Source organism: Homo sapiens, chromosome 7 (genome assembly GCF_000001405.40).
Source record: "Homo sapiens chromosome 7, GRCh38.p14 Primary Assembly".
Taxonomy (NCBI): Eukaryota; Metazoa; Chordata; class Mammalia; order Primates; family Hominidae; genus Homo; species Homo sapiens.
In genome coordinates this window covers 16,196,098-16,222,035 of record NC_000007.14, presented here as the reverse complement: position 1 = coordinate 16,222,035, position 25,938 = coordinate 16,196,098, and the positions used below count along the sequence as shown (strand labels likewise).

The 25,938-nt window shown below is 37.5% G+C and overlaps 1 protein-coding gene, 1 long non-coding RNA gene and 1 pseudogene across 6 annotated transcripts in view, besides 1 other annotated feature; 1 reads left to right on the top strand and 2 right to left on the bottom strand.

The window, feature by feature from the left end:
* Positions 1–11,550, bottom strand: part of CRPPA-AS1 (CRPPA antisense RNA 1) — a 60,119-nt gene extending 48,569 nt beyond the window's left edge. For both annotated transcript variants that reach the window (NR_038947.1, NR_038946.1), the window contains exon 1: positions 11,433–11,550. This is a non-coding gene — a long non-coding RNA (CRPPA antisense RNA 1). The remainder of the gene's footprint in view (positions 1–11,432) is intronic.
* CRPPA (CDP-L-ribitol pyrophosphorylase A) overlaps positions 1–25,938 on the top strand; it is a 334,014-nt gene that overhangs the window by 199,503 nt on the left and 108,573 nt on the right. For all 4 annotated transcript variants that reach the window (NR_160656.1, NM_001101417.4, NM_001368197.1 and 1 more), the window contains one exon: positions 5,839–5,970. Coding sequence is in view for 3 of the 4 variants with exons in the window: in NM_001101417.4 (NP_001094887.1) it covers positions 5,839–5,970 (132 nt within the window). In the remaining variant the exon portion in view is untranslated. The remainder of the gene's footprint in view (positions 1–5,838; positions 5,971–25,938) is intronic.
* Positions 6,295–6,796: an enhancer, noted in NCBI's record as "NANOG hESC enhancer chr7:16254865-16255366 (GRCh37/hg19 assembly coordinates)". NCBI's record gives its function as "activates a minimal SCP1, AML or CMV promoter by ChIP-STARR-seq in naive H9 embryonic stem cells {active_cell/tissue: H9 hESC(naive)}" and the evidence as "EXISTENCE:reporter gene assay evidence [ECO:0000049][PMID:30033119]".
* RPL36AP29 (ribosomal protein L36a pseudogene 29) lies at positions 12,753–13,121 on the bottom strand (annotated as a pseudogene).

Sequence of the window (25,938 nt, the reverse complement as noted above, 5' to 3'; positions counted from 1 at the left end):
AAGTCTTTGCTATTGTGAATAATGCCACAATAAACATACGTGTGCATGTGTCTTTATAGCAGCAAGATTTATAGTCCTTTGGGTATGTACCCAGTAATGGGATGGCTGGGTCAAATGGTATTTCTAGTTCTAGATCCCTGAGGAATCGCCACACTGACTTCCACAATGGTTGAACTAGTTTACAGTCCCACCAACAGTGTAAAAGTGTTCCTATTTCTCCACATCCTCTCCAGCACCTGTTGTTTCCTGACTTTTTAATGATCGCCATTCTAACTGGTGTGAGATGGTATCTCATTGTGGTTTTGATTTGCATTTCTCTGATGGCCAGTGATAATGAGCATTTTTTCATGTGTTTTTTGGCTGCATAAATGTCTTCTTTTGAGAAGTGTCTGTTCATGTCCTTCGCCCACTTTCTGATGGGGTTGTTTGTTTTTTTCTTGTAAATTTGTTTGAGTTCATTGTAGATTCTGGATATTAGCCCTTTGTCAGATGAGTAGGTTGTGAAAATCTTCTCCCATTTTGTAGGTTGCCTGTTCACTCTGATGGTAGTTTCTTTTGCTGTGCAGAAGCTCTTTAGTTTGATCAGATCCCATTTGTCAATTTTGGCTTTTGTTGCCATTGCTGTTGGTGTTTTGGACATGAAGTCCTTGCCCATGCCTATGTCCTGAATGGTGATGCCTAGGTTTTCTTCTAGGGTTTTTATGGTTTTAGGTCTAACGTTTAAGTCTTTAATCCATCTTGAATTGATTTTTGTATAAGGTGTAAGGAAGGCATCCAGTTTCAGCTTTCTACATATGGCTAGCCAGTTTTCCCAGCCCCATTTATTAAATAGGGAATCCTTTCCCCATTGCTTGTTTTTCTCAGGTTTGTCAAAGATTAGATAGTTGTAGATATGTGGCGTTATTTCTGAGGGCTCTGTTCTGTTCCATTGATCGATTTCTCTGTTTTGGTACCAGTACCATGCTGTTTTGGTTACTGTAGCCTTGTAGTATAGTTTGAAGTCAGGTAGTGTGATGCCTCCAGCTTTGTTCTTTTGGCTTAGGATTGCCTTGGTGATGCGGGCTCTTTTTTGGTTCCATATGAACTTTAAAGTAGTTTTTTCCAATTCTGTGAAGAAAGTCACTGGTAGCTTGATGGGGATGGCATTGAATCTGTAAATTACCTTGGGCAGTATGGCCGTTTTCACGATTTTGATTCTTCCTACCCATGAGCATGGAATGTTCTTCCATTTGTTTGTATCCTCTTTTATTTCCCTGAGCAGTGGTTTGTAGTTGTCCTTGAAGAGGTCCTTCACATCCCTTGTAAGTTGGATTCCTAGGTATTTTATTCTCTTTGAAGCAATTGTGAATGGGAGTTCACTCATGATTTGGCTCTCTGTTTGTCTGTTATTGGTGTATAAGAATGCTTGTGATTTTTGTACATTGATTTTGTATCCTGAGACTTTGCTGAAGTTGCTTATCAGCTTAAGGAGATTTTGGGCTGAGACAATGGGGTTTTCTAGATATACAATCATGTCATCTGCAAACAGGGACAATTTGACTTCCTCTTTTCCTAATTGAATACCCTTTATTTCCTTCTCCTGCCTAATTGCCCTGGCCAGAACTTCCAACACTATGTTGAATAGGAGTGGTGAGAGAGGGCATCCCTGTCTTGTGCCAGTTTTCAAAGGGAATGCTTCCAGTTTTTGCGCATTCAGTATGATATTGGCTGTGGGTTTGTCATAGATAGCTCTTATTATTTTGAAATACGTCCCATCAATACCTAATTTATTGAGAGTTTTTAGCATGAAGGGTTGTTGAATTTTGTCAAAGGCTTTTTCTGCATCTATTGAGATAATCATGTGGTTTTTGTCTTTGGCTCTGTTTATATGCTGGATTACATTTATTGATTTGCGTATATTGAACCAGCCTTGCATCCCAGGGATGAAGCCCACTTGATCATGGTGGATAAGCTTTTTGATGTGCTGCTGGATTTGTTTTGCCAGTATTTTATTGAGGATTTTTGCATCAATGTTCATCAAGGATATTGGTCTAAAATTCTCTTTTTTGGTTGTGTCTCTGCCCGGCTTTGGTATCAGAATGATGTTGGCCTCATAAAATGAGTTAGGGAGGATTCCCTCTTTTTCTGTTGATTGGAATAGTTTCAGAAGGAATGGTACCAGTTCCTCCTTGTACCTCTGATAGAATTTGGCTGTGAATCCATCTGGTCCTGGACTCTTTTTGGTTGGTAAACTATTGATTATTGCCAGAATTTCAGCTCCTGTTATTGGTCTATTCAGAGATTCAACTTCTTCCTGGTTTAGTCTTGGGAGAGTGTATGTGTCGAGGAATTTATCCATTTCTTCTAGATTTTCTAGTTTATTTGCGTAGAGGTGTTTGTAGTATTCTCTGATGGTAGTTTGTATTTCTGTGGGATGGGTGGTGATATCCCCTTTATCATTTTTTATTGCATCTCTTTGATTCTTCTCTCTTTTCTTCTTTATTAGTCTTGCTAGCGGTCTATCAATTTTGTTGATCCTTTCAAAAAACCAGCTCCTGGATTCATTAATTTTTTGAAGGGTTTTTTGTGTCTCTATTTCCTTCAGTTCTGCTCTGATTTTAGTTATTTCTTGCCTTCTGCTAGCTTTTGAATGTGTTTGCTCTTGCTTTTCTAGTTCTTTTAATTGTGATGTTAGGGTGTCAATTTTGGATCTTTCCTGCTTTCTCTTGTGGGCATTTAGTGCTATAAATTTCCCTCTACACACTGCTTTGAATGCGTCCCAGAGATTCTGGTATGTTGTGTCTTTGTTCTCATTGATTTCAAAGAACATCTTTATTTCTGCCTTCATTTCGTTATGTATCCAGTAGTCATTCAGGAGCAGGTTGTTCAGTTTCCATGTAGTTGAGCGGTTTTGAGTGAGATTCTTAATCCTGAGTTCTAGTTTGATTGCACTGTGGTCTGAGAGATAATTCGTTATAATTTCTGTTCTTTTACATTTGCTGAGGAGAGCCTTACTTCCAAGTATGTGGTAAATTTTGGAATAGGTTTGGTGTGGTGCTGAAAAAAATGTATATTCTGTTGATTTGGGGTGGAGAGTTCTATAGATGTCTATTAGGTCTGCTTGGTGCAGAGCTGAGTTCAATTCCTGAGTATCCTTGTTGACTTTCTGTCTCGTTGATCTGTCTAATGTTGACAGTGGGGTGTTAAAGTCTCCCATTATTAATGTGTGGGAGTCTAAGTCTCTTTGTAGGTCACTCAGGACTTGCTTTATGAATCTGGGTGCTCCTGTATTGGGTGCATATATATTTAGGATAGTTAGCTCTTCTTGTTGAATTGATCCCTTTACCATTATGTAATGGCCTTCTTTGTCTCTTTTGATCTTTGTTGGTTTAAAGTCTGTTTTATCAGAGACTAGGATTGCAACCCCTGCCTTTTTTTGTTTTCCATTTGCTTGGTAGATCTTCCTCCATCCTTTTATTTTGAGCCTATGTGTGTCTCTGCACGTGAGATGGGTTTCCTGAATACAGCACACTGATGGGTCTTGACTCTTTATCCAATTTGCCAGTCTGTGTCTTTTAATTGGAGCATTTAGTCCATTTACATTTAAAGTTAATATTGTTATGTGTGAATTTGATCCTGTCATTATGATGTTAGTTGGTGATTTTGCTCGTTAGTTGATGCAGTTTCTTCCTAGTCTCGATGGTCTTTACATTTTGGCATGATTTTGCAGCGGCTGGTACCGGTTGTTCCTTTCCATGTTTAGCGCTTCCTTCAGGAGCTCTTGTAGGGCAGGCCTGGTGGTGACAAAATCTCTCAGCATTTGCTTGTCTGTAAAGTATTTTATTTCTCCTTCACTTATGAAGCTTAGTTTGGCTGGATATGAAATTCTGGGTTGAAATTTCTTTTCTTTAAGAATGTTGAATATTGGCCCCCACTGTCTTCTGGCTTGTAGGGTTTCTGCGGAGAGATCTGCTGTTAGTCTGATGGGCTTCCCTTTGAGGGTAACCCGACCTTTCTCTCTGGCTGCCCTTAACATTTTTTCCTTCATTTCATCTTTGGTGAATCTGACAATTATGTGTCTTGGAGTTGCTCTTCTCGAGGAGTATCTTTGTGGCGTTCTCTGTATTTCCTGAATCTGAACGTTGGCCTGCCTTGCTAGATTGGGGAAATTCTCCTGGATAATATCCTGCAGAGTTTTTTCCAACTTGGTTCCATTCTCCCCGTCACTTTCAGGTACACCAATCAGACGTAGATTTGGTCTTTTCACATAGTCCCATATTTCTTGGAGGCTTTGCTCATTTCTTTTTATTCTTTTTTCTCTAAACTTCCCTTCTCGCTTCATTTCATTCATTTCATCTTCCATTGCTGATACCCTTTCTTCCAGTTGATCGCATCGGCTCCTGAGGCTTCTGCATTCTTCACGTAGTTCTCGAGCCTTGGCTTTCAGCTCCATCAGCTCCTTTAAGCACTTCTCTGTATTGGTTATTCTAGTTATACATTCTTCTAAATTTTTTTCAAAGTTTTCAACTTCTTTGCCTTTGGTTTGAATGTCCTCCCGTAGCTCAGAGTAATTTGATCGTCTGAAGCCTTCTTCTCTCAGCTCGTCAAAGTCATTCTCCATCCAGCTTTGTTCCGTTGCTGGTGAGGAACTGCGTTCCTTTGGAGGAGGAGAGGTGCTCTGCGTTTTAGAGTTTCCAGTTTTTCTGTTCTGTCTTTTCCCCATCTTTGTGGTTTTATCTACTTTTGGTGTTTGATGATGGTGATGTACAGATGGGTTTTTGGTGTGGATGTCCTTTCTGTTTGTTAGTTTTCCTTCTAACAGACAGGACCCTCAGCTGCAGGTCTGTTGGAATACCCTGCCGTGTGAGGTGTCAGTGTGCCCCTGCTGGGGGGTGCCTCCCAGTTAGGCTGCTCGGGGGTCAGGGGTCAGGGACCCACTTGAGGAGGCAGTCTGCCCGTTCTCAGATCTCCAGCTGCGTGCTGGGAGAACCACTGCTCTCTTCAAAGCTGTCAGACAGGGACATTTAAGTCTGCAGACGTTACTGCTGTCTTTTTGTTTGTCTGTGCCCTGCCCCCAGAGGTGAAGCCTACAGAGGCAGGCAGGCCTCCTTGAGCTGTGGTGGGCTCCACCCAGTTGGAGCTTCCCGGCTGCTTTGTTTACCTAAGCAAGCCTGGGCAATGGCGGGCGCCCCTCCCCCGGCCTCGCTGCCGCCTTGCAGTTTGATCTCAGACTGCTGTGCTAGCAATCAGTGAGACTCCGTGGGCGTAGGACCCTCAGAGCCAGTTGCAGGATATAATCTCGTGGTGCGCCGTTTTTTAAGCTGGTCCGAAAAGCGCAATATTCGGGTGGGAGTGACCCGATTTTCCAGGTGCGTCTGTCACCCCTTTCTTTGACTCGGAAAAGGAACTCCCTGACCCCTTGCGCTTCCCAAGTGAGGCAATGCCTTGCCCTGCTTCCGCTCACGCACGGTGCGCGCACCCACTGACCTGCGCCCACTGTCTGGCGCTCCCTAGTGAGATGAACCCGGTACCTCAGATGGAAATGCAGAAATCACCCGTCTTCTGCGTCGCTCACGCTGGGAGCTGTAGACCGGAGCTGTTCCTACTCGGCCATCTTGGCTCCTCCCCAGCATTTGGTTTTTCAACCTCGTTTTCTCTGAGTGTTTACTACATCTGTGTTTATAAAGGAGGATTCATCGATCTTAAGTATGGCTTGAAGCATAACTAGAGATTAACAAAAGTTAATAAAGATTATTGCAATATTGTAATCATATGGGTTTTGAGCTTCTTTAATGTTTTTTCCCTCCAGAGAAAGTTGAAGGGAATGATATTCTAAATACTGTCTTTTATATTTTGCAGGTTCATTTTCTTGATTTTAAATTAGTACCTCCCAGTCAGAAAATGGAAAACCTAATGCAGATTAGAGAATTTGCAAAGGAAGTAAAAGAAAGAAATATTTTGTTATATGGGCTTCTCATATCTTACCCACAGGTAGGTAAAATGTTTATCTTCCGAATGTATGTTCTGTAGACTAGTTTTAATGGTAGGTATCTGATTTGTTAAAAGCAGGAGGATATTATTGATAAGTGAAATTACAGCTGGAAAGTTACTCATCTATGTGTGTGCTATAATAGTAGAACCTCTTGCCTCTAGGAAAAAAATAGAAACCAATAAAACTATTAGCATTGGGGAAATGCTAATGAGCAAACATCTCATATTAGGTATCCCAAATAGAACTGTCAGGTTTATCAAATAAAAGTATGATTTTCCCAGTTAAAATTGAATTTCAAATATATAATACTTTTTGTTAAGTTTGTTCCAAATATGAAATTTGAATTTCAAATCTAATAAAATTCTTATATTTACGTGGCAACCCTACAAAGCCAGATTCCTTGTCCACTGGTGTAATTTAAGATTATTTACTTTTATGTTATGTTAAAGATATTGGTAGTCAATTGTTTATCTCCCTAAACAGGTTATTTAATCATTTGAAAGCACTGCCTGGCATTCAGATTATAAGAGGGCATGGTACTTAACTAAAGAAATGCATTCATTGTCACTGTCTTTAATAGCTGCATGTTAGTTACACTGAAAGCACAATGAGCTACCATTACAGATTCTTTGTGCAGAGAAATGCTATTTAAAACAAAGAATTTGGAAAATCTATTAAGAAATAGAATTAGGGTTAAAAATTTGGAGAATCTGTGGATTTGTCCTTTGTGCATAGATAGCTTTCATTGGATTTGTGACTACTTTAGAGTTTCTTGGAGGTACCATACAAGAGTCTAGCAAGTTGAACGGTCCACTGCTATTTTTAGTGGTCTCAAAAGTAATTTGGTACTGAATGTCCAGTGAATGACAGGTATTTAAACTTATTTGTGGGTGGCAAATAACAGCTATTGTTTATGAAATTATTTCGGCTGCATTTTTAACCTGTGGGTAACATTTCTTCTGAAACTATACATTTTAATTAAATATAAGGACCATCTTTTAGCTAATCCCTTGGTTTTGTTTTAACTTAAAGGTTGTTGTTTCCTCTGCTTCCAAAATATGCAAGCATGACCTCAGTTATCAAGAACTAGGCAAATTTTAGTTCACGTAGGATAATGGAATTGCAAAATGTTAATGCTGTAGGAGGCTACTGAAGTCAGGACAGCCAAGGCCCAAGGAGTTACATATATTTGCCCGAGGACAGATAACGGGTAGAGTAACAGAACTCAGATCTGTATCCATGGTCAGTAATATTCTCTCTTTGTGGTGGCTCACGCCTGTAATCCTAACACTTTGGGAGGCCAAGATGGGCGGGCGGATCACTTGAGGTTAGGAGTTCAAGACCAGCCTGGCCAACACGGTGAAACCCTTGTCTCTACAAAAAAGTTAAAAAATTAGCCAGGCATGGTTGTGGGTGCCTGTAGTCCCAGCTACCTGGGAGGCTGAGGTGGGAGAATCACTTGAATCTGGGAGGCGGAGGCGGAGGTTGCAGTGAGCAGAGGTTGCCGCCCCTGCACACCAGTCTGGGAAAAAGAGTGAGGCCCTGTCTCAAAAAAAAAATCTTTTTTGTTTGTACTCAGATTATTACAGTGGGAAAAATCTGTTCTTTTTCTCATGTTGTCTAAAGGAGTCATGGACAAACACTACTATTGTCACATAGTGCAGTTAGAAAGTAGAGTTTATTGAGGCAAATCTCAATCAGAAAATGGAGAGTGTAAATAATCCCTGGAACTCTCATTTGGCTAGGGCAAAAGGGTCTGTATGCACTGCACTGTAGTTGACTTTCCAGTAAAGTGTAATGTTGCCAGGTTATATATATGATGCCTAGTTAAATTTGAATTTCACATAAACAATAATTTTTAGCGTATGTCCCAAATGTTACATGGAGCATACTTGAATTAAAAAAACCTTTGATGTTTACTTGAAATTCAGATTTAACATGCAAACTCAAAAAGAAAATTTATCACTTAAAATAACCTCTTTGTAGATAGCTTAAATGTAGACTTATGGATTATATTATTGGCTTGGCCATTTATACGTAGTATAAAGTTTTCTGACTTTATCCAATGCTCAGTAACTCATGTAAAATAATTTGGAATGTTTTAAAATTTTTGCTCTAGATTAGAAGTGTAACATAAAGCTTGCTTTCACAATTTGTTGAACGAATTTAAACCAGGCCTTATCTCTCTTTCTAAAATAATCCTATAGACATGACTATGGATAATTAAAATGAGCTTTCATAGTTTAATACTTAAAATAGACTAAGGGACAAATAAGAAAGTTACCAAAGCAGTTCTGTAATTTTTTTTTTTTTTTGAGCCGAAGTTTTTCTCTTGTTGCCCAGGCTGGAGCGCAATGGCACAATCTCGGCTCATTGCAACCTCCACCTCCTGGGTTCAAGCAATTCTCCTGCCACAGCCTCTCAAGTAGCTGGGATTATGGGTGCCCGCCACCATGCCCAGTTAAATTTTGTATATGTAGTAGAGACAGGGTTTCACCATGTTGACCCGGCTGGTCTTGAAATTCTGATCTCAGGTGATCCACCCACCTCAGCCTCCCAAAGTGCTGGGATTACAGGTGTGAGCCACCGCGCCTGGCCAAATTTTTGTTTTTTAAAAAAAAATTTGTAAAAGATTGTTGAGAATTATTATAAATAAGTCCCCAAAACAGGATATGGAACAATAAAATGAAATTTTTTGGTAACAAAATTAAATTAGACTAAGTCCCTTTAAAGTATAATCTTAAATAATTCTATGTGTAAAATATTATTCACTTTTCATTATTAAGCAAACTTTGCTGTGCAAGTCATCATTAAGATCCATGATACAAAATTATATTTGAGGAACCTGTACTAATCACCTAAAAATCTGTATTTGATGATCTAGCAGTGAACTTACAGAGACAGAATGTTTCTGGCATGAATAGTTCAAGCCAATAGCTTAGAGTGTGTAGTCTTAATTTTGTTGAAATGTGAAAATACCTCTATAATGACTTTTTAATGCAAATATTTGCAACTATATATTTTTCAATTTTGCATGTGAACTTCTGTGACAGTAAAAATTTTAAAGCCTGTAAAATATCTAAAGTGCTGTAAGCAGTTTTATCTTTAACCTGTGCATTTTATATGCTTAGGGATTTAGCAATAGAAGCACATAGGTTCAAAGTTTAAAAGTTTCCCATAAACTATTATAACTGATTGTTTCTTTCACTGAGCTAGTGTCTGTTGCCCTCCACACTGGAAAAACTAGTTATATCACCTCGGACAAGCAGTGTAAGTTTTATAGGCCCCAGGTTCTTCATTTGTAAAATGCAGATGTCAGAACTTCCACATTAAAGCCTATGTTGGATGAGAAAGCGGAGACAGAGGATGGTGGTGCTGGCTGTGTCCAGAGATGCGTTATACATACATATCTCACTCTGACACACAGACATTCTGGAACTGAGCCTGGTTTTTCTTTCCTTTCCATATGTGACCACAAACTTCACCTGAACTATTATTTCCTTTCTTTTCCTGGAGAAATTATTCATTACGGTGTGTATATTTTAGTAGAGTTCAGAGAGGGAACTGTTCTTTTGTCAGACGTCTTGATCAAAGTACAGTGGAAGACAGTGGGGGAGTTAGGATCCATCAGAAGAAGGCTGAGGAGCATATTAAATGTGGCAGCATGGTAAGGAGTGTGTATCGTTTTAGCCCATCATTTTCTCTTATTTCTTCCCCACTAAACTGTCATTTCACTTACTTATAATATAGTGGGAAATAGAACTTTTGAAAGCAATGTAGCTTAGTCAGTATTTTAATTGGATGGGGACATTGGAAAGGATGGCACTAATTGGCAGACCTGCAAAAACCAAGCCACGGAGAAGCCATGGGATAAAGCAGAGGCACTCTCTTACCCTCTCCCTTAGCCTGAATTCTACGTTTTCTTTTGTTCCTACGACTGCAGATCTAGGAGACATACAAATAAGAAAGTTACCAAAGCAGTTCTCTACATTTTTGTTTTTTTAAAAAAAAATTTGTAAAAGATTTGTGAGAATTATTATAAAAATCTCCAAAATAGGATATAGAACAATAAAATAAATATTTTTGGTAACAAAATTAAATTATATAAAGCTGTATGTATTGGTCTTGTATCACAAGTATAAACCATATTGCTCTACTCGATGACGTAAGTACAATTGTTCTTCTCTATTGTCTGGGCTTTGAAGGTTTTCTGTGCACTGTAAAGGACATCCAAGAAACATTCTTGATTGTGAAACTCCTTGTAATTACCTTAGGTCAACTGATAATGATATAGGAACAGTTTTCTATTACAGCTTTGGTCCTAAAGATCTGAATGTATAGGGTACCACTGACATCCATTTTTTCATCTCAAAGGTCCGCATTTACTCTGTGTCCACTAGATAGAGGAATCATCCTTTAAGTATGCATGATCCTTTGGAGAACAAATGGGTGTATGCTGTCGGTTAGCAGAACACTGTTTTTTTTTATGGTAATCATGGGTGAGGTTAGACTTAGAAGTTCAACTTTCTGCAATGAACAATTACTTGGAATTTAAATGGGAATTATTTACTAAACACACAAAACTTTCCATGGCACCGAATCATATGGCAGACGTACCAAACATGCAACACCAAATCTGTTTACAGAAACCCATAATACCCTCTTCAAAGTAATCAGGCTTTTTTGATGTGGGAATGTTTATGAGACCAGATATTTTTCACTTTCAATATTGTTTTGACTTTTATTGTTTAGACTTAGTCATTCTTTGGGAAAATACAAAGGTCATAAAATATGTTTTCAAAAATTTGTAATTTTGAAAAAAATTGTTTTTATAGAGTTTGGTTAGCTTACTTGGCAGACTCATTAGAGAATGGCGGTAAGCTTGTTTTACTTAGATATATGTAAATGAAATGCAATATTAAACACACACCTTCTGCTACAGATTTTTTTGTCAATACAAAATGCACGTATTTTCAGGGTACATTTGGTAATTTGATCCATTCACATCATGTGTAAAAATAAAATTGGGGTAATCAGGATATTCATCACCTTGAATATTTATCTTTTCTTTGTGCTAGGAACATTTTAGTTATGCTCTTCTAGCTATTTTGAAATGTACAGTAGATTGTTAACTATTGTCACCCTACTGATGTATTGAACAGTAGGTTTTATTTCTATCTGACAGTATGTTTGCACCCAGATCTTTCCTTTTTTTTTTTTCTGGATAAAAGAAGCTACTTTCTGTATGTAAATGAAGAGAAGCATCCTCTAACTTAAGGAGGGTACTGCCATGGAAATTTTTAATGAGCGAATTTCTTTAAACAGTGCATTTGTTAGCTATTACTATATAACCCAACATTTATTATCTCGCAGTTTCTGTGGGTCCTCAAGCTCTGGGTCTCCATCAAGGATGCAACCATCTCAAAGCTCTCCTGGAAATTTTCCCAAGTAGCTCACTCACCTGGCTGTTGAAATAATTCATTTCCTCATGAGCTATTGCACTGAGGCCTCAGTTCATGATTTCATGAGCTCCTGGCTGGAGGCTTGCCTCTGTTCTTTGCACAGAGTGTCTGGAAACATCATAGAATGCAAGAGAGAACCAGAAGATGGAAGTCACAGTCTTCTGTGACATCAGCGACTGACATCCCATCCCCTTTGCTGTACTGGGTTCGCCAGAGGCAAATCACTATGCTCCACCCACACTCAGGGGAGGTGACTACACAAGGGTTATCATTGGGAACCATATCAAATGCTGCCTACCACACTAACACTGGAGTGCAGATATTGTAGGCTAAGTATTTCTTGCTACTCACCCCCATTAAGATTAAGGGATTTATAGGGTGAATAGGGCTAGACATGTTTAAATATAAAAAAGCATACAAATTATATACATGTATCTATCCATACACACATGTATATATGTATATGCTTTTTTATTGCATGTAGAGTGATAATATCTGGAAGAGGGCATAGGGTGTTAGAAAGGCAAAACTTATTTTTACATTATCTGTAAAATTGTTTTTAAAGAGCTTGATTTGGATCAGATCCATATCAAACCCATTGGTGCAATTATATCATTTTCTAATTTTTATTAAAGAGAGGGAAATTGCATGTAAGTGAAAAAAATGTGGATGTAATATTGAAATGGGCATCTTCAGCCATAGCTTTAAGTTCTTGTTCTTCAGTAACCTTGTGGCCATTCTCAAGTTACTAAAATTTGTCTTTCTGTATTTGATTATAAAATGGCCATATGCTTTTAGATACCAAACTTAAATTTTTAAAAAATCTAATGAAATGAATATTTTGTTTAGTAGCGTGTTCTTATATACATTCCTAAAAGATCTCATTCTGTAGTGGTTGTATTTCAGATGGTACAACCTAAAATTTTGTGTTTTAGATTTGCTTTCTTTTTTTGTGTGAATCTTTCTTTTTTTGTGTGAATGTAAACTCAAGATTTTATTTTATTCATAATAAAACAAAAGATGACACTTAGGGCTGGGCGCCATGGCTCACGCCTGCAATCCCAACACTTTGGGAAGCTGAGGCTTGCAGATCACCTGAGGTCAGGAGTTCGAGACCAATCTGGCCAACATTGTGAAACCCCGTCTCTACTAAACGTACAAAAATTAGCCGATTGTGGTGGGGAGCACCTGTAATCCCAGCTACTGGGGAGGCTGAAGCAAGACAATCACTTGAATCCCTGGGAAGTAGAGGCTGCAGTGAGCCGAGATTGCCACTGCCCTCCAGCCTGGGCAACAGAGCGAGACTCGTCTCAAAAAAAAAAAAAAAAAGACACTTAGAACCGTATTACTTGGCCGTGTCTCTTCTTACCACCTTCCAGTTCAAAATGCTTGCATCTTTTGATAGCTAGCATTCTCTTAGATCTGCGGTTGGTCTGGGCTTAATGCACTAAGCCTTAGCACAATCTTCTTTGTAGTTTTAGCTTTTTCTGGATAATTGGCTTAGTCTGCCCACCAGAGCCACCCTGCTATCTGTCATAACACCACTTCCCCTGGGCATACAGAAAATCCTTGCCCTTCTTGCCCTGTGTCACTTCATGGGGTTGGTGCTTGCCACACTTCTCACAGAAAATTTGGTGGATTTTAGGAATGTTCACCACGTTTGTGGGAATGCTATTGGCATGGAAAGACTCAAATCTTTCTATTCATTCTAAGTCCAAACATCCAGCTTATTTTCTAAGTGCCCAATGTCATTATATACAACATAATGTGCCAGCCACTAAGGGGTAGTATGAACTTCCAACAAGGTTTCAGTCCTCAAGGAATTCATATACCTGGAGATGATATCCTTCAAAATTACCCAGGCATACATATGAAGAATGGGTGATATACACTTATTCTCTACCTTGTTCTACCAAATTTTTAAGATGAATTAGCCAAAGATAGCCTTCTTTGATAAGGGTGGGACACACAATAGTATAGGAGGAGTTGAGAAGAGGACGGCTAATGTTCACCCCGCCTGCCATGCTCTCTCACCTGGTGCAGGGCAGCTTCTGTGTGTCATAAAGGGAGGTTCCATAGAGACACCATAATTTAGAAGATCTTTATGAAGTGAGAAAATTAAATGCTTTATCTTGAAATTATGAAATTACAGACTGCAATTTTTTTTACCTAATGTATTGTTTTTCCAACTCATGTATTTGAAAGGAGATTCAGTATAGAACACTGCAAAATCAATGAAAGTAGTGTTAAGTATGTAAATAGAGGAGATTGGAGCTTTACTTAAGACATATTAAACTGGCAAAAATAGAGGTATAAGTTATTTTTAAAAAATTATCCCTTATCCCTTGTTTTTGTGAGACTTCCTCACCATCCCAACTCATGTCATAACAAAAGGAATTATTTTTGACACTTTATGAGTTTTATGTTTTAATTAAAGCATCATATTAATGGGGGTGCATAGGTAGGCTATATTATTTTGATTCAGGTTAGTGAAGTCAGTGTTACAAAATAATTGCTAGAAAATAGTGTTGTTGCAATTGAGAAAGTTGAGATGCATACAGTAAAAGCATGTAATACAAAAGGTGCTGTGTCTCAGAGGTTGTAGAAAGGTATTTCCAGGGGATAGTTGTATATTAAGTCAAGAGGAATAGAAACAAAAAGAAGGCAATTTGACAAGTGGAATCCTACTGGTAGTCTTCAGGAAAACATGTTGTGGACTTACGGAAAACACTGATATACTTCATTGATATTGATCTGATTTCCTATAACTATTTACTCAGTAAAACTCCTGCTCTATTACTTATATCAATGAAAAATTTAAAATGGGATTTGATTTTAGTCTTTGTCCAGTTTCTGATATTTTGAGTAATGAAATAGTGAAGAAATAATGGCATGACAAATAGTCTAAAAGAACAAACTGAATAATTAGGCTTTGCAAAACTGAGTGTTTTCTAATGTACATGGCATTATTTTAGTGCATTGAAATAAAATGTGTGTATCCTGCTTGCAGCAGTTTTATGTAGACTTTCCTTGAATAATATGTGAGTGAGGGAGATATCTTTGTTTGTTTTCACTTTATGCAACACTAATTATCCAAACTGCATAAGCAGCTGTACAAGGAACTGTGAAATTGCAGTGTTTAACGGAATCCATTGGAGAGCATCACGTTCATGCTTGAGGACTTGAAAGCATGAAGGGTAGGAAATGAAACTAGGTAGGAGAAATGTGAAGTCAACCTAATTTTAAAGATTTGACATTCTAAGTCAGTGACAATAAGACTGAATGCTTTGAAACATTTGCAGCGTATTGCCTAATAGATGCTGTATATCATTTTAGAGCAAAGGTAAGTGATTTCCAAAATCAGGAGCTATCTGTCCAAGAACCATTTTCCAGGAATGAGAGTGGAAGAGTGGTAGAATTTGGTCATATGCAAAATCCCTTACTTTCTTTCCCACTCAGTAAAGAGAATAGTTTGCAAAATAAGGTCATGTGTTTATAGTCTCTGAGAATCCTATCAATGTTTCTGATTTTGATCACAATGGGATTATAAAAGGACTTTCTTCACGGAGAATCAGAAAGGTGTGTAATGTTTGGCATTTGGTTTTGTTTATAGAAAATAGCAAGATTTATTAGTTTTTCATCCATCTCATTACTCACCTTTGACAACTGGTAAGGAAGTATACTTTAATTAAGATTCAAACTTCCTCTTACTGAATGGAAAGTGACAATGTGCTAATGCTGTTTAGAAATGAGTTGGTTTAATAATAAACATATCTACAGTAATTCCTTTTAGACTCTGGATTTTAATGGACAGGAAAAACACAGATGTTTCACACAGACACTATTCATGATTGTTATGCTTTTATCATTGTTTATATGTATGTTTGTAATCACTGTATCATTCTAAAACACTTTGTAAGGAGGAATATAAAGAAATAGTGTTCAAAAAGAGTACCACAGAGAATTTGCCACTTTTTTCAGCTAAAATTTTACCTTGTAATCATTTAATTTTTACTATGTTCTTTTTTAAAAAAAGGTTCAGAATTTGTACTTATGGCTCAAAACTTTCTAAGTCACAATAAAAATAATTAGGCCACAGATCTTATGTACAGACAAATCTTTCAAAAGAGGGGTTCAGAAACACAAGAAACTAAAAGTTCACTATTGAACATACTGCTTTTTTTTGTTTACCACAAATACTTTTGTATTAGAAGTATTGAAGTTAGGACGCAAGTAAAGGAAGTTTAATTTTGTTCATAGGCTTGCAAGCTGAAATCAGCACAATATAAAATGTATTAAAATATGGACCACTAAACTATATATTACCTACTGGTATGTATTTACATCATTGGTCTGAGCCAACCTTATGCTCCATTCTTACTGTAAAGTAAGGTAACAAAAAAAATATTTTGACCCTCCACTGGGGATATGCTTCTGTGAAAATATACCAGTCACTAAATCTTAAGCCACATACAATTTTTTAATGTATGAAGGTATGCATTTGTGGTTTTAGAATACACCTATCTGCATTATACTATTTATTTCTAGTTGCCTTTCAGTGAAGAGTCAGGTCATTTCTTGCTTGTCTACTGGTTAGGTATCTTGGATTCTGACTTGATCTGTTTGGTTTTTAATTTTAAGTAGGAATAATATGTTTTATTAAATATTACTAAGATTTACATTTAATTGTGCCATATTCACCACCTTAATTCTCTTATCCCTTTATTAAATTTCTGGCTTCGTATTTAAGATGTTTTGATGATATTAAAGGATTTTGGCTCTTTAGGGAGGATCATCTTTTTTTTTTTCTTTTATAGTTTAAAAAAGTCCAGCATTAGCAGACATTTGCTTGTAATTTTCTCACTGTAGTAAGAGGAAATAAGCCAAAGCCCCTAGATAAGAAGTTGCTCAAATCTAGTTACTCACTTCCCAGTTCTAGCCCATGGAGAAAGGAATAAGCATGATCCTTGAGTCTGACTTTTTAGATGAAAATGGTTACATAAGGTTTCTAAAGCATGCTGATTATAGAGCAAACATTAAAACATTCAGTGGCAAATCTTTCTGAACTTTGGTAGCAATTTTAATAATGAAGGTATCGTATTTAGCCTAAAAATTACCAGTTTAAGCAACTGCATAAACACAACTGGTGTGGGGGGTGTAATTTTTAACAAGTGACCTGGCCAATATAATTTCAGAGTCTCATTCGTATTTTTTACAGTTGTACCTTCTATATCATAATTTCAGTTTTTCTAATGAATTGAGAACACCAGGCTTTGCCAGCAACATCATGAGAACATGGATTTTCTTCACCAGTAACTTTCTCAAGTCATGTAAATCAGGGTTACATCAGGTTAATTGGGTGTTAAAAATGCATGCCTTTTGTTATTTAGAGTTTAATTATCTCCTCAGGCCTGTGAGGTTAGCTGAGCAATAGCAAATGTGGCCGTTGTTGTGAATTCAAGAACATAAGTAATGGTGAATAGCTGTTTTGCCTTCTGCTGCCTGTGGGACAGTTGTTTGCAAGCCTCTGTCTTGCCAAGTGCTGTGTATATTGCATTGAGATTAAAGATCTTTTCAGCTGGTCTGTATTTGGGGCTTAATAAGAAAGCATATGTGTTAAGAATCGTGGAGAGATATCTCCTCTAGGTCTTTGAATTATGAATTCTCTGATGTAAAATATACAGTAAAGAAAAATAATCAGTAAGAATCCAAAACGTTACCAAGTTATGATTTTTAAAAAATCTTAGGAAAGTCACAGAAGTTACTACATTTGATTCTACTGTTACAGATGCCTTGGCTTTATCAAAGCTTATGAAGACAGGGAACTATCTCTATATGACTTTTCAGTTTTACTTGGTGCTAAACTTGAATGAATTATCTCAAAATTCTGTAGTTTGACTCAAAATTCCAAAGTTTGACTTAGGTATGGTGGCTAAATGATTGCTGACTCTGTGCCTTCTCAGTTTTGTTTTTTTTGTTGTATAAATTTAAGGGAGAACAAGTGCAATTTTGTTACATGCGTATGTTGTGTAGTGGTGAAGTCTTGGCTTTTAGTGTATCTACCATCTGAATAGTGTACATTCTGCCCATTATGTCGTTTCTCATCAATTTCCCCCTTACCCCACTTCCCTGCTTCCAAGTCTCCAATGTCTATCATTCCCCTCTTTGTTCATGTGTACACGTTATTTAGCTCCCACTAATAACTGAAAACTTGGTATTTGAGTGTCTGTTTGAGTTGTTTCACTTAAGATGATGGCCTCCAGTCCTACTCATATTGCTGCAAAATCTCAGAATTTTAATTGGTTTATATTGTTTGGATATTAATTTGATTCAGATTAACCTTTCCTCAATTCAATTGTCATATAGTTTTCTGATGCTTATGACATTGTAGATGGAAGTGTGTAAAAATTTTTTGTCCAACATGCCAAATTCATTTAAAAATTTAAAAAGGAAAATGTAGACTAAAATGTGTAAATTGCAAAATTATAACTTAGGTGATTAGAGTGACAATTTTTAATGAGCTAGGAAATACATGTTCACCACAGTTTGCTAAATAACATAGATACGCAATTTTTAAATTTCATCTCAATTTTTAACCAGTATCCTTAAAATTTTGAATATAGTGATCTTTGTTTTTGTAACATGAATTAATACGTGTGTCAAATCTTTATGTAGATTTGTTGCTATATGGATTCCAGTATTTTGCTTCCTGAATAAAATTTTATGATGATTTAAAATGCAGCCATGCATGTCAGTTTCAGCTAAATTTACTGGAGGAGGATCCAGGCAGAGTGGTTTTTAAGCCAATTGAATTAATTGATGAGCTAATTGGTTTATCAGTTGGGACTTCTTAATGGCAAATGTCAGAAACACAACACAGAGTGGTTTAAAAATATAACTGAAAAAATTCTAAGATAATGGCTTCAGGCTTTGTCAAACCCAGATGGTAAAAGGGCAATTTCCTCTCTCATCAGTCTCTTCCTCATCCCTATCTATACCCAATAATTTGGTTCTTTATTCTCGGGAGGTTTTCTAAGTAATATCAAGCATGTACTATAAAATATACTGCTCCCACTTTATATTTTATGTTTTGTAAACTCAGTGGAAAGAGAATGCCTCTATCCCAATATTTTCACTAAAAACCATAGTTCTAACTCTGATTAAGCCTGTTGTAAAATATATCTTCATTTTCAGATTCAACTACTGTGGCCCATGTGAGTGTTCTTTCTATCATTCAGGCCTAGTTAACTTGTCCACACCTGGATCCAGGTCAGCTCCACCCAAACTTCATGAACGAGAATAAGGGTGGGGCACATTCCCCACAGGATGGGGAACAGATGCTGGATACGCCCAAACAATAGGTCATTATGTTTATTATTTTTGGCAGCTTTCCTCTTTAGCAAATAAGTAAGATAAAGACACTAAAGATTTGTGTCCAAATTATATAAAATGTGGATATTTGTTTGCTAATTAACTGTGGAATTATAAAGGGTCAGATTTTCAGGGGACCTTAAAGCGCAGCTAGATAAGACCCTTAAAATATTACCAACCTAGTTATTTTTAACCACTTGTGAAATATACTGTAAGTTACATACACTAAAAATAATTCTAAAACTTGGGATTTATTTTAATAAAAATAACTAATAGTAATACCCATTTGTCTCATCTTTTTTCCAGTATATTCCCTAGGCAAGGAAGGAAAGGGTGGGTCACATCATAGACATCATTTCTTATTTTTGTTGCATTAGGAGGGATTGGGCTGAGAACTACTACTCTACCATATCTGTCAGCCTTGACAAAATTGTCTTTTTCACAAAAAATAGTTTGTTTATACTGTTTTCATCATAATGCTTAGCTTTGGCTTCCTTTATCACATTCGTGTCTTTCCAGATGTGCTTCAGTTTGCATTGAGCATGAAATGACCTGCCCATCTTTCACTCAAGTATTCCCTGTCATTCTTCATGCTTTTTCTCTATAACAATTTAACACAATCTGGCACAAAATCCTTTACTTATTCATGCTAATTGTCTGACTTCCTTATCTAGAATAGGAGGCCAAACAAGACAGGATGTTTTTGTCTGGTTTATCACTTTATTTCTAGAACTGGAATGGTGCCTGGTCTAGTGTAGGCCCTCAGTGACTGCTGAGTGACCAGTATGTAATGTGCAAATATGAACAAACACTTATAAGCTGTATAAGGACATCATAGATTTGAGTAGTAGTACTTTTTCATTTAATGTACTACTCTATTGGTTTCTGTTTATACTATAGATAGTGTATTCCTGAAAGTGTGTAAAACATGAACAGAATAGTGGTTAAATTATTTATGTTTTTATAGGTTCAAGTTATAGCGGTAAAAGTTAATAAATTACAAATTGTAGGCTAGTATCATTCATAAACATGAGTACAAACTGATTTATCCCAGGGATTCAGAGATAGTTTATTATTAAAAATTCAACTGTAATAATTTACCATATATTCAAATTAAAAGCTAGTGACATCATCTCTATAGTTGGAGAGGAGATGTGATTAAATTCAGCACCAATCATGATAAACTCTTAGCAAATTATAATGTCTTGGTAAAGTTATACACCAAAAATCTAAATCTAACATCAAACTTAATGTGTTAGGAACATTACCTTTAAATTGAAGAGCAAGAAAAGAATGGCCATAATCACCATTTCTATTCAACCTGGTACTGGGTGCTTTAACTAGCACAGTCAGATGAAAGAGAAGTAAAAGAATAAAGGATGGGAAAGTAAGAAACAAATCAGTCATTATTTGCAAATAATACAATTATTTAAGAGCTCAAAAGTTTTACACATGCAAGCAACATACAGTTGCAGCTGTTTTGCTCCTGTAGTTTAGTGGGCAAGAGTGTTACAGCCCTTTAATTCCCACTGCCCTGCAGCTCAGCGAGCAGGAGTGTTACAACTCTTTCACTCCCACGGTTCGGCAAGTTCCAGGTTCTTTTCCCACACCCAAGAAGAATAAGATACAGGGACACTGGAGACAAAGTAAGGGAGAGTAGAATTTGTTGAGTGAAAGAAAAGCTCTCGACAGCAAGAGGGGACCCAAAAGTGGGTAGCCATCTGTGAGGCTGAGTCCAGGGTTTTTATGGGCTTAGAATAGGGGAATGTGTGCCATTTCGTTTATGGTTGGGCTTGGAAAAGATACCATTTGATTGGCTAAAAGACATCGTTCAAAAAGAACAAATTGAGAGAGAGTAAGACTGCGATGGAGGTTCTCACTCTGGTTTATGAATTCTATCTGTAACTGGTAGCTTGGTTTTCCAGGCTTTAGACTGTCCTTGGCTTGAAGGTAGAGTTTCACTGGGGACCTGCCCCTGTCTGCCTAGGAATTTGTCTGTCTCCTGTCGTGAACAATGCTTATATGTTTTTATTTCAATGTAAATGCAACAAATTTAGAAATTTCAAATGCTATATTTTATGAAATTGAATCAAACTAAATGGTGTGTGTGTGTACCCTTGATCTCTCCTTTCATCTTGTGAAATATGTGACTATTGTTTTAATTTATTTTCCTTGCAGTGAAGTTGATATTTTTATGTATTCATATGTGTGTTGCAATTTTCTTCATTATTAGACATAGCTCAAAAATATTAAGGAAAAATGCTTCTATAAAAAATAACATAAATGAACAAGAATAGGACTCCTTTTGGATTAGAAGAATTCAGTGTATGTGGTAGACTGTTAAGCAAGAACAGTTTTTGATATCTATGTATTAGATATTTGTTTCAGGTTTCTGCATGTTTTCTCACCACATTACCGTGTGAAAATTCATTGTCTGTTAGGTCTGCATTGTTGCTTAAGGGAATTGATGATATGCCAATTTATTACTCTTTCACAATACTAAGCATTTAAATGTACACAATGTTTACACTTTATAAAAAGCCTTGTGAGAAGTTTTGTGACTTTAAATTTCTTGTAAACAGATTTTCATTGACTTGTAAAAAATATTAAAACATTATAAGGTAGCTGCAGCTTGATTAATTATATGTCTAAAAATCAAATTAGGCAGCAACATATATTTTTAATTGAACTTTTATGTGTCACGTCATTCCAATGTTTTGAATTTGTAGGATGTGAATGCCTTGCAGAGAAAGTTTAATTTAGATCATGCATGTAGTACTCCCACATGATCATTGTCGATGTTACTATTATTGTAAATAAATACTACTCTTTGTGTAATACAACTTTTGAAATACTATATAGATTTGAGGTTTGTAGTCTAACATTTCCAATTTCTGGTGTGAGAGAATGTTTTCCAATGGAATCACTTTGATGAAGACTAAGTCACTTAGTATGTAAGCATAACCACTTTGCTTCTTGCACAAGAACTCCTGAGAGGTGATTGAAGTTTATGTTTTTGGAGAAAAGCAGTAACGTCCGTAGAAGCAAAGTCACTTTTAGAAGTCTACAGATCTGGCCGGGCAGAGTGGCTTACGCCTTTAATTCCAGCACTTTGGGAGGCCAAGGTGGATGGATCACCTGAGGTTAGGAGTTTGAGACCAACCTGGCCAACATGGTAAAATCCCATCTCTACTAAAAACACAAAAATTAACTGGGCGTGGTGTTGTCTGTCTCTAATCCCAGCTACTCAGCAGGCAGAGGCAGGAGAATCACTGGAAACCAGGAGGGAGAGCTTGCAGTGAGCTGAGATCGCACCATTGCACCCCAGCCTGGGCGACAAGAGCAAAACTCCATCTCAAAAAAAAAAAAAAAAAAAAGAAAAAGCTTACAGATCTGAAGGCAATAATTTTGGAATAAATTAGAGTGGAATGTCTGATTTTTTTCAGTCCATGTTAGTCACAAAATCTGGAAACCAGAAACACCATTAAGGAATTTGCTGTAGTGAATTCTCTAGCCAGTGTAAAGATACTTCAAGTGAGAGAAAATTCTTTACTGAATTTTTTTTTTAAGTGAACTTATGGTTTGAGCATATGCACAGGAAACATGCAGATTCTACATAGAAATGAGATTCAGGAGAATTTTATTTTGATGGTAATAAAAAATGACTGTGGGGTTAATTTTTTCGAGGAGGGCTCATCCCGCAGAGTTAGTACTTAGAATTCTTCTAAATAGTGTGTGAAAAGCAGTTAGATATTTTAATTCTTTTATTATCCATTTTATTGGGAAAATTTTATTCTTTGATACAGATTTTTTTAAATTAAGGTTTTTGGACATAACCTTTACACATATGAAAGGCATTAACTACTATTAAAGATAAACAAAGGCAGACATTGATTAAAGTGGAGAGAGCAGATTTTATTTAGTAACTACTGATAGGGTAAAGAGTGGAGCTTCCTTCTGAGTTTTGCAGAAGTGACTGATCATTTTTAAGGGAGCATGAAGGGGTAGGTGGGAGGACATTTAAAATCCCCAGGTGATTGTAATGTACAACCAGAGTTGAGAACCACTGGTCCAGTTAGACCCCTCAACTAGCCGTCAGGGGTCCAGGTCAATGCTTCTCAATGTATTGGAAGTCTGGGAGAGAGCAGCACTCCAGTAAAAAATTACAAAGGGTTGGTCAGTGTGAATGTGTTTAGGCTAGTTGTGTATGTTAGCTGGTAATCAAAGAAGTTAAGATTCTGTTTACTCAGAGAGGCTGGAAACAGAGGTTCCTATTCTGCTGATGGAGTTTGGTTGCCTCTAGTGCAGAGATTTGGATGGAGTCATTATGTGTTGGAAGTTCTACAGTTCTTACTACTTTATATTATATAAAATTCAGATGAAAGAATTTACCAATTTTTGCTTAGCATTTTCAGAGGCAGAGGCAGAGGCAGGAAGGATTGCGTGAGCCCAGGAGTTTAAGATTAGCTAGGGCAACATGATGAAACCGTTTCTTAAAAAAAAAAAATGCTGCGCAAGTATGGGAGTGCATACCGGTCATCCTGTAGGGGTGGGTTGCCCCTACACACCTGTGGGTGTTTCTCGTAAGGTGGGACGAGAGATTTGGAAAAGAAAAAGACACAGAGACAAAGTATAGAGAAAGAAATAAGGGGACCCGGGGAACCAGCGTTCAGCATATGGAGGATCCCGCCAGCCTCTGAGTTCCCTTAGTATTTATTGATCATCTGTGGGTGTTTCTCAAAGAGGGGGATGTGTCAGGGTCACAAGACAATTGTGGGGAGAGGGTCAGCAGACAAACACGTGAACAAAGGTCTTGGCATCATAGACAATGTAAAGGATTAAGTGCTGTGCTTTTAGATATGCATACATATAAACATCTCAGTGCTTTACAAAGCAGTATTGCTGCCCGCAGGTCCCACCTCCAGCCCTAAGGCGGTTTTTCCCTATCTCAGTAGATGGAGCATACAATCGGGTTTTATACCGAGACATTCCATTGCCCAGGGACAGGCAGGAGACAGATGCCTTCCTCTTGTCTCAACTGCAAGAGGCATTCCTTCCTCTTTTACTAATCCTCCTCAGCACAGACCCTTTACGGGTGTCGGGCTGGGGGACGGTCAGGTCTTTCCCTTCCCACGAGGCCATATTTCAGACTATCACATGGGGAGAAACCTTGGACAATACCTGGCTTTCCTAGGCAGAGGTCCCTGCGGCCTTCCGCAGTTTTTGTGTCCCTGGGTACTTGAGATTAGGGAGTGGTGATGACTCTTAAGGAGCATGCTGCCTTCAAGCATCTGTTTAACAAAGCACATCCTGCACCGCCCTTAATCCATTTAACTCTGAGTTGACACAGCACACATTTCAGAGAGCACGGGGTTGGGGGTAAGGTCATAGATTAACAGAATCTCAAGGCAGAAGAATTTTTCTTAGTACATAACAAAATGGAGTCTCCTATGTCTACTTCTTTCTACACAGACACAGTAACAATCTGATCTCTCTTGCTTTTCCCCACATTGCCTCTAGTGCAGAGATTTGGATGGAGTCATTATGTGTTGGAAGTTCTACAGTTCTTACTACTTTATATTATATAAAATTCAGATGAAAGAATTTACCAATTTTTGCTTAGCATTTTCAGAGGCAGAGGCAGAGGCAGGAAGGATTGCGTGAGCCCAGGAGTTTCAGATTAGCTAGGGCAACATGATGAAACCGTTTCTTAAAAAAAAAAAAATGCTGCGCAAGTATGGGAGTGCATACCGGTCATCCCAGCTACCCTGGAGGCTGAGGCCAGAGGATCGCTTGAGCCCAGGAATCTGAGGCTGCAGTAAGCCATGATTGATTACACCACCACACTAGCCTGGACAACAGAAGAGACCCTGACTCAAAAAAGAAGAAAAAAATTTACTGATTCTTTTCAGGGTTTCAAGTACATTTGTCTTTTTTAGCTTATTTTTTGAGAAAGTGTATTCACGTGGTTTTAAACTTAAATCACATATACTTGTACACAGTGGAAAGCCATTGTGTCCCTATCAACCTAGTCCTCATTCTCCACCCTGATTCCCAGGTGTGTGGCTTGGTTTCATAACTCGGTTTTCCTTCTTGCCCTCCAGCATTCTTCAGGTTCACACTGGTGTATTCATGATGTAGGTGTGCCATGTTTATCATGTTTACCCTATTCTGTTTGACCTGGGTTTGGGTAGATAGCTTTTTCTTTTTTTAAGGGTTTTTCCCAACATGTTGTCAGATGAACAAAGCACCTGTTGTGTTTCACTAAAACATGAGCGTCAGCATTTGAGTAATCAACAGGGTTTGCTTATTTTGTGTATGAAAATAATATACCTCATTAGGTTATGAAAACACATTAGTATGGAAACGGCAGCAAAACTCTAAGAGTGATCTAGATGGCTTCACTATCTTGGTTATTTAGGGAAAAATGAAACTGAGAGTGATTATTGCTTTCCTGGGACCAGAAAGTTTGATGTGATAGAAATAGGCCTTCTCACCTAATTAGGGAAGGTGGTTCTTTTGTTTTAGACTATGAGTGAGTCCTGTAATTCTGAAGTTTCAAACCTGAGTGTCTTTCTCTAGATACTATAATGTGTTCTAGAAAGTCTAAAAGTTCTCTGACATTGTTTGTCTTTGAATTTGCTAGCTACATTACTCAGAAACACTACATTTCTCTTGAATGCACTTTTGTTAGTATCTACAGTGTGTCTTCTGTCATCCTAGCCGAAGATAACCTCACTATTTCTGATTGTATATTTTATTTTCTTCACATAAGTAGCCTAGTAAAGCTGCTAAATGAAAGGTATTCATGAAAATCAGCCATTCATAGAGTATGGAAAGAAGACATATATTTTTTTGAGCACGGTGTGCACCAGGCACTTTTGTATAAACTCTTATAGAAACTTTAGGATAGCTACATGAAGTGGGAATTGCTAGCTCTGTCATATGCTAGTGAGGAACCCGGGCCCAGAAACTCAACTAACTTCACATGCATAAGCTAATAAGTGACTGAACTAGATTAGGACCTCAGATGCACCACTGTGCTTACATGCTCAGTGAGGCTTTAGCAGAAGAGCTTCTTAAAGTAAAAAAGACAACATATATATGTTCTATATTTCTATACACATGTTTGTA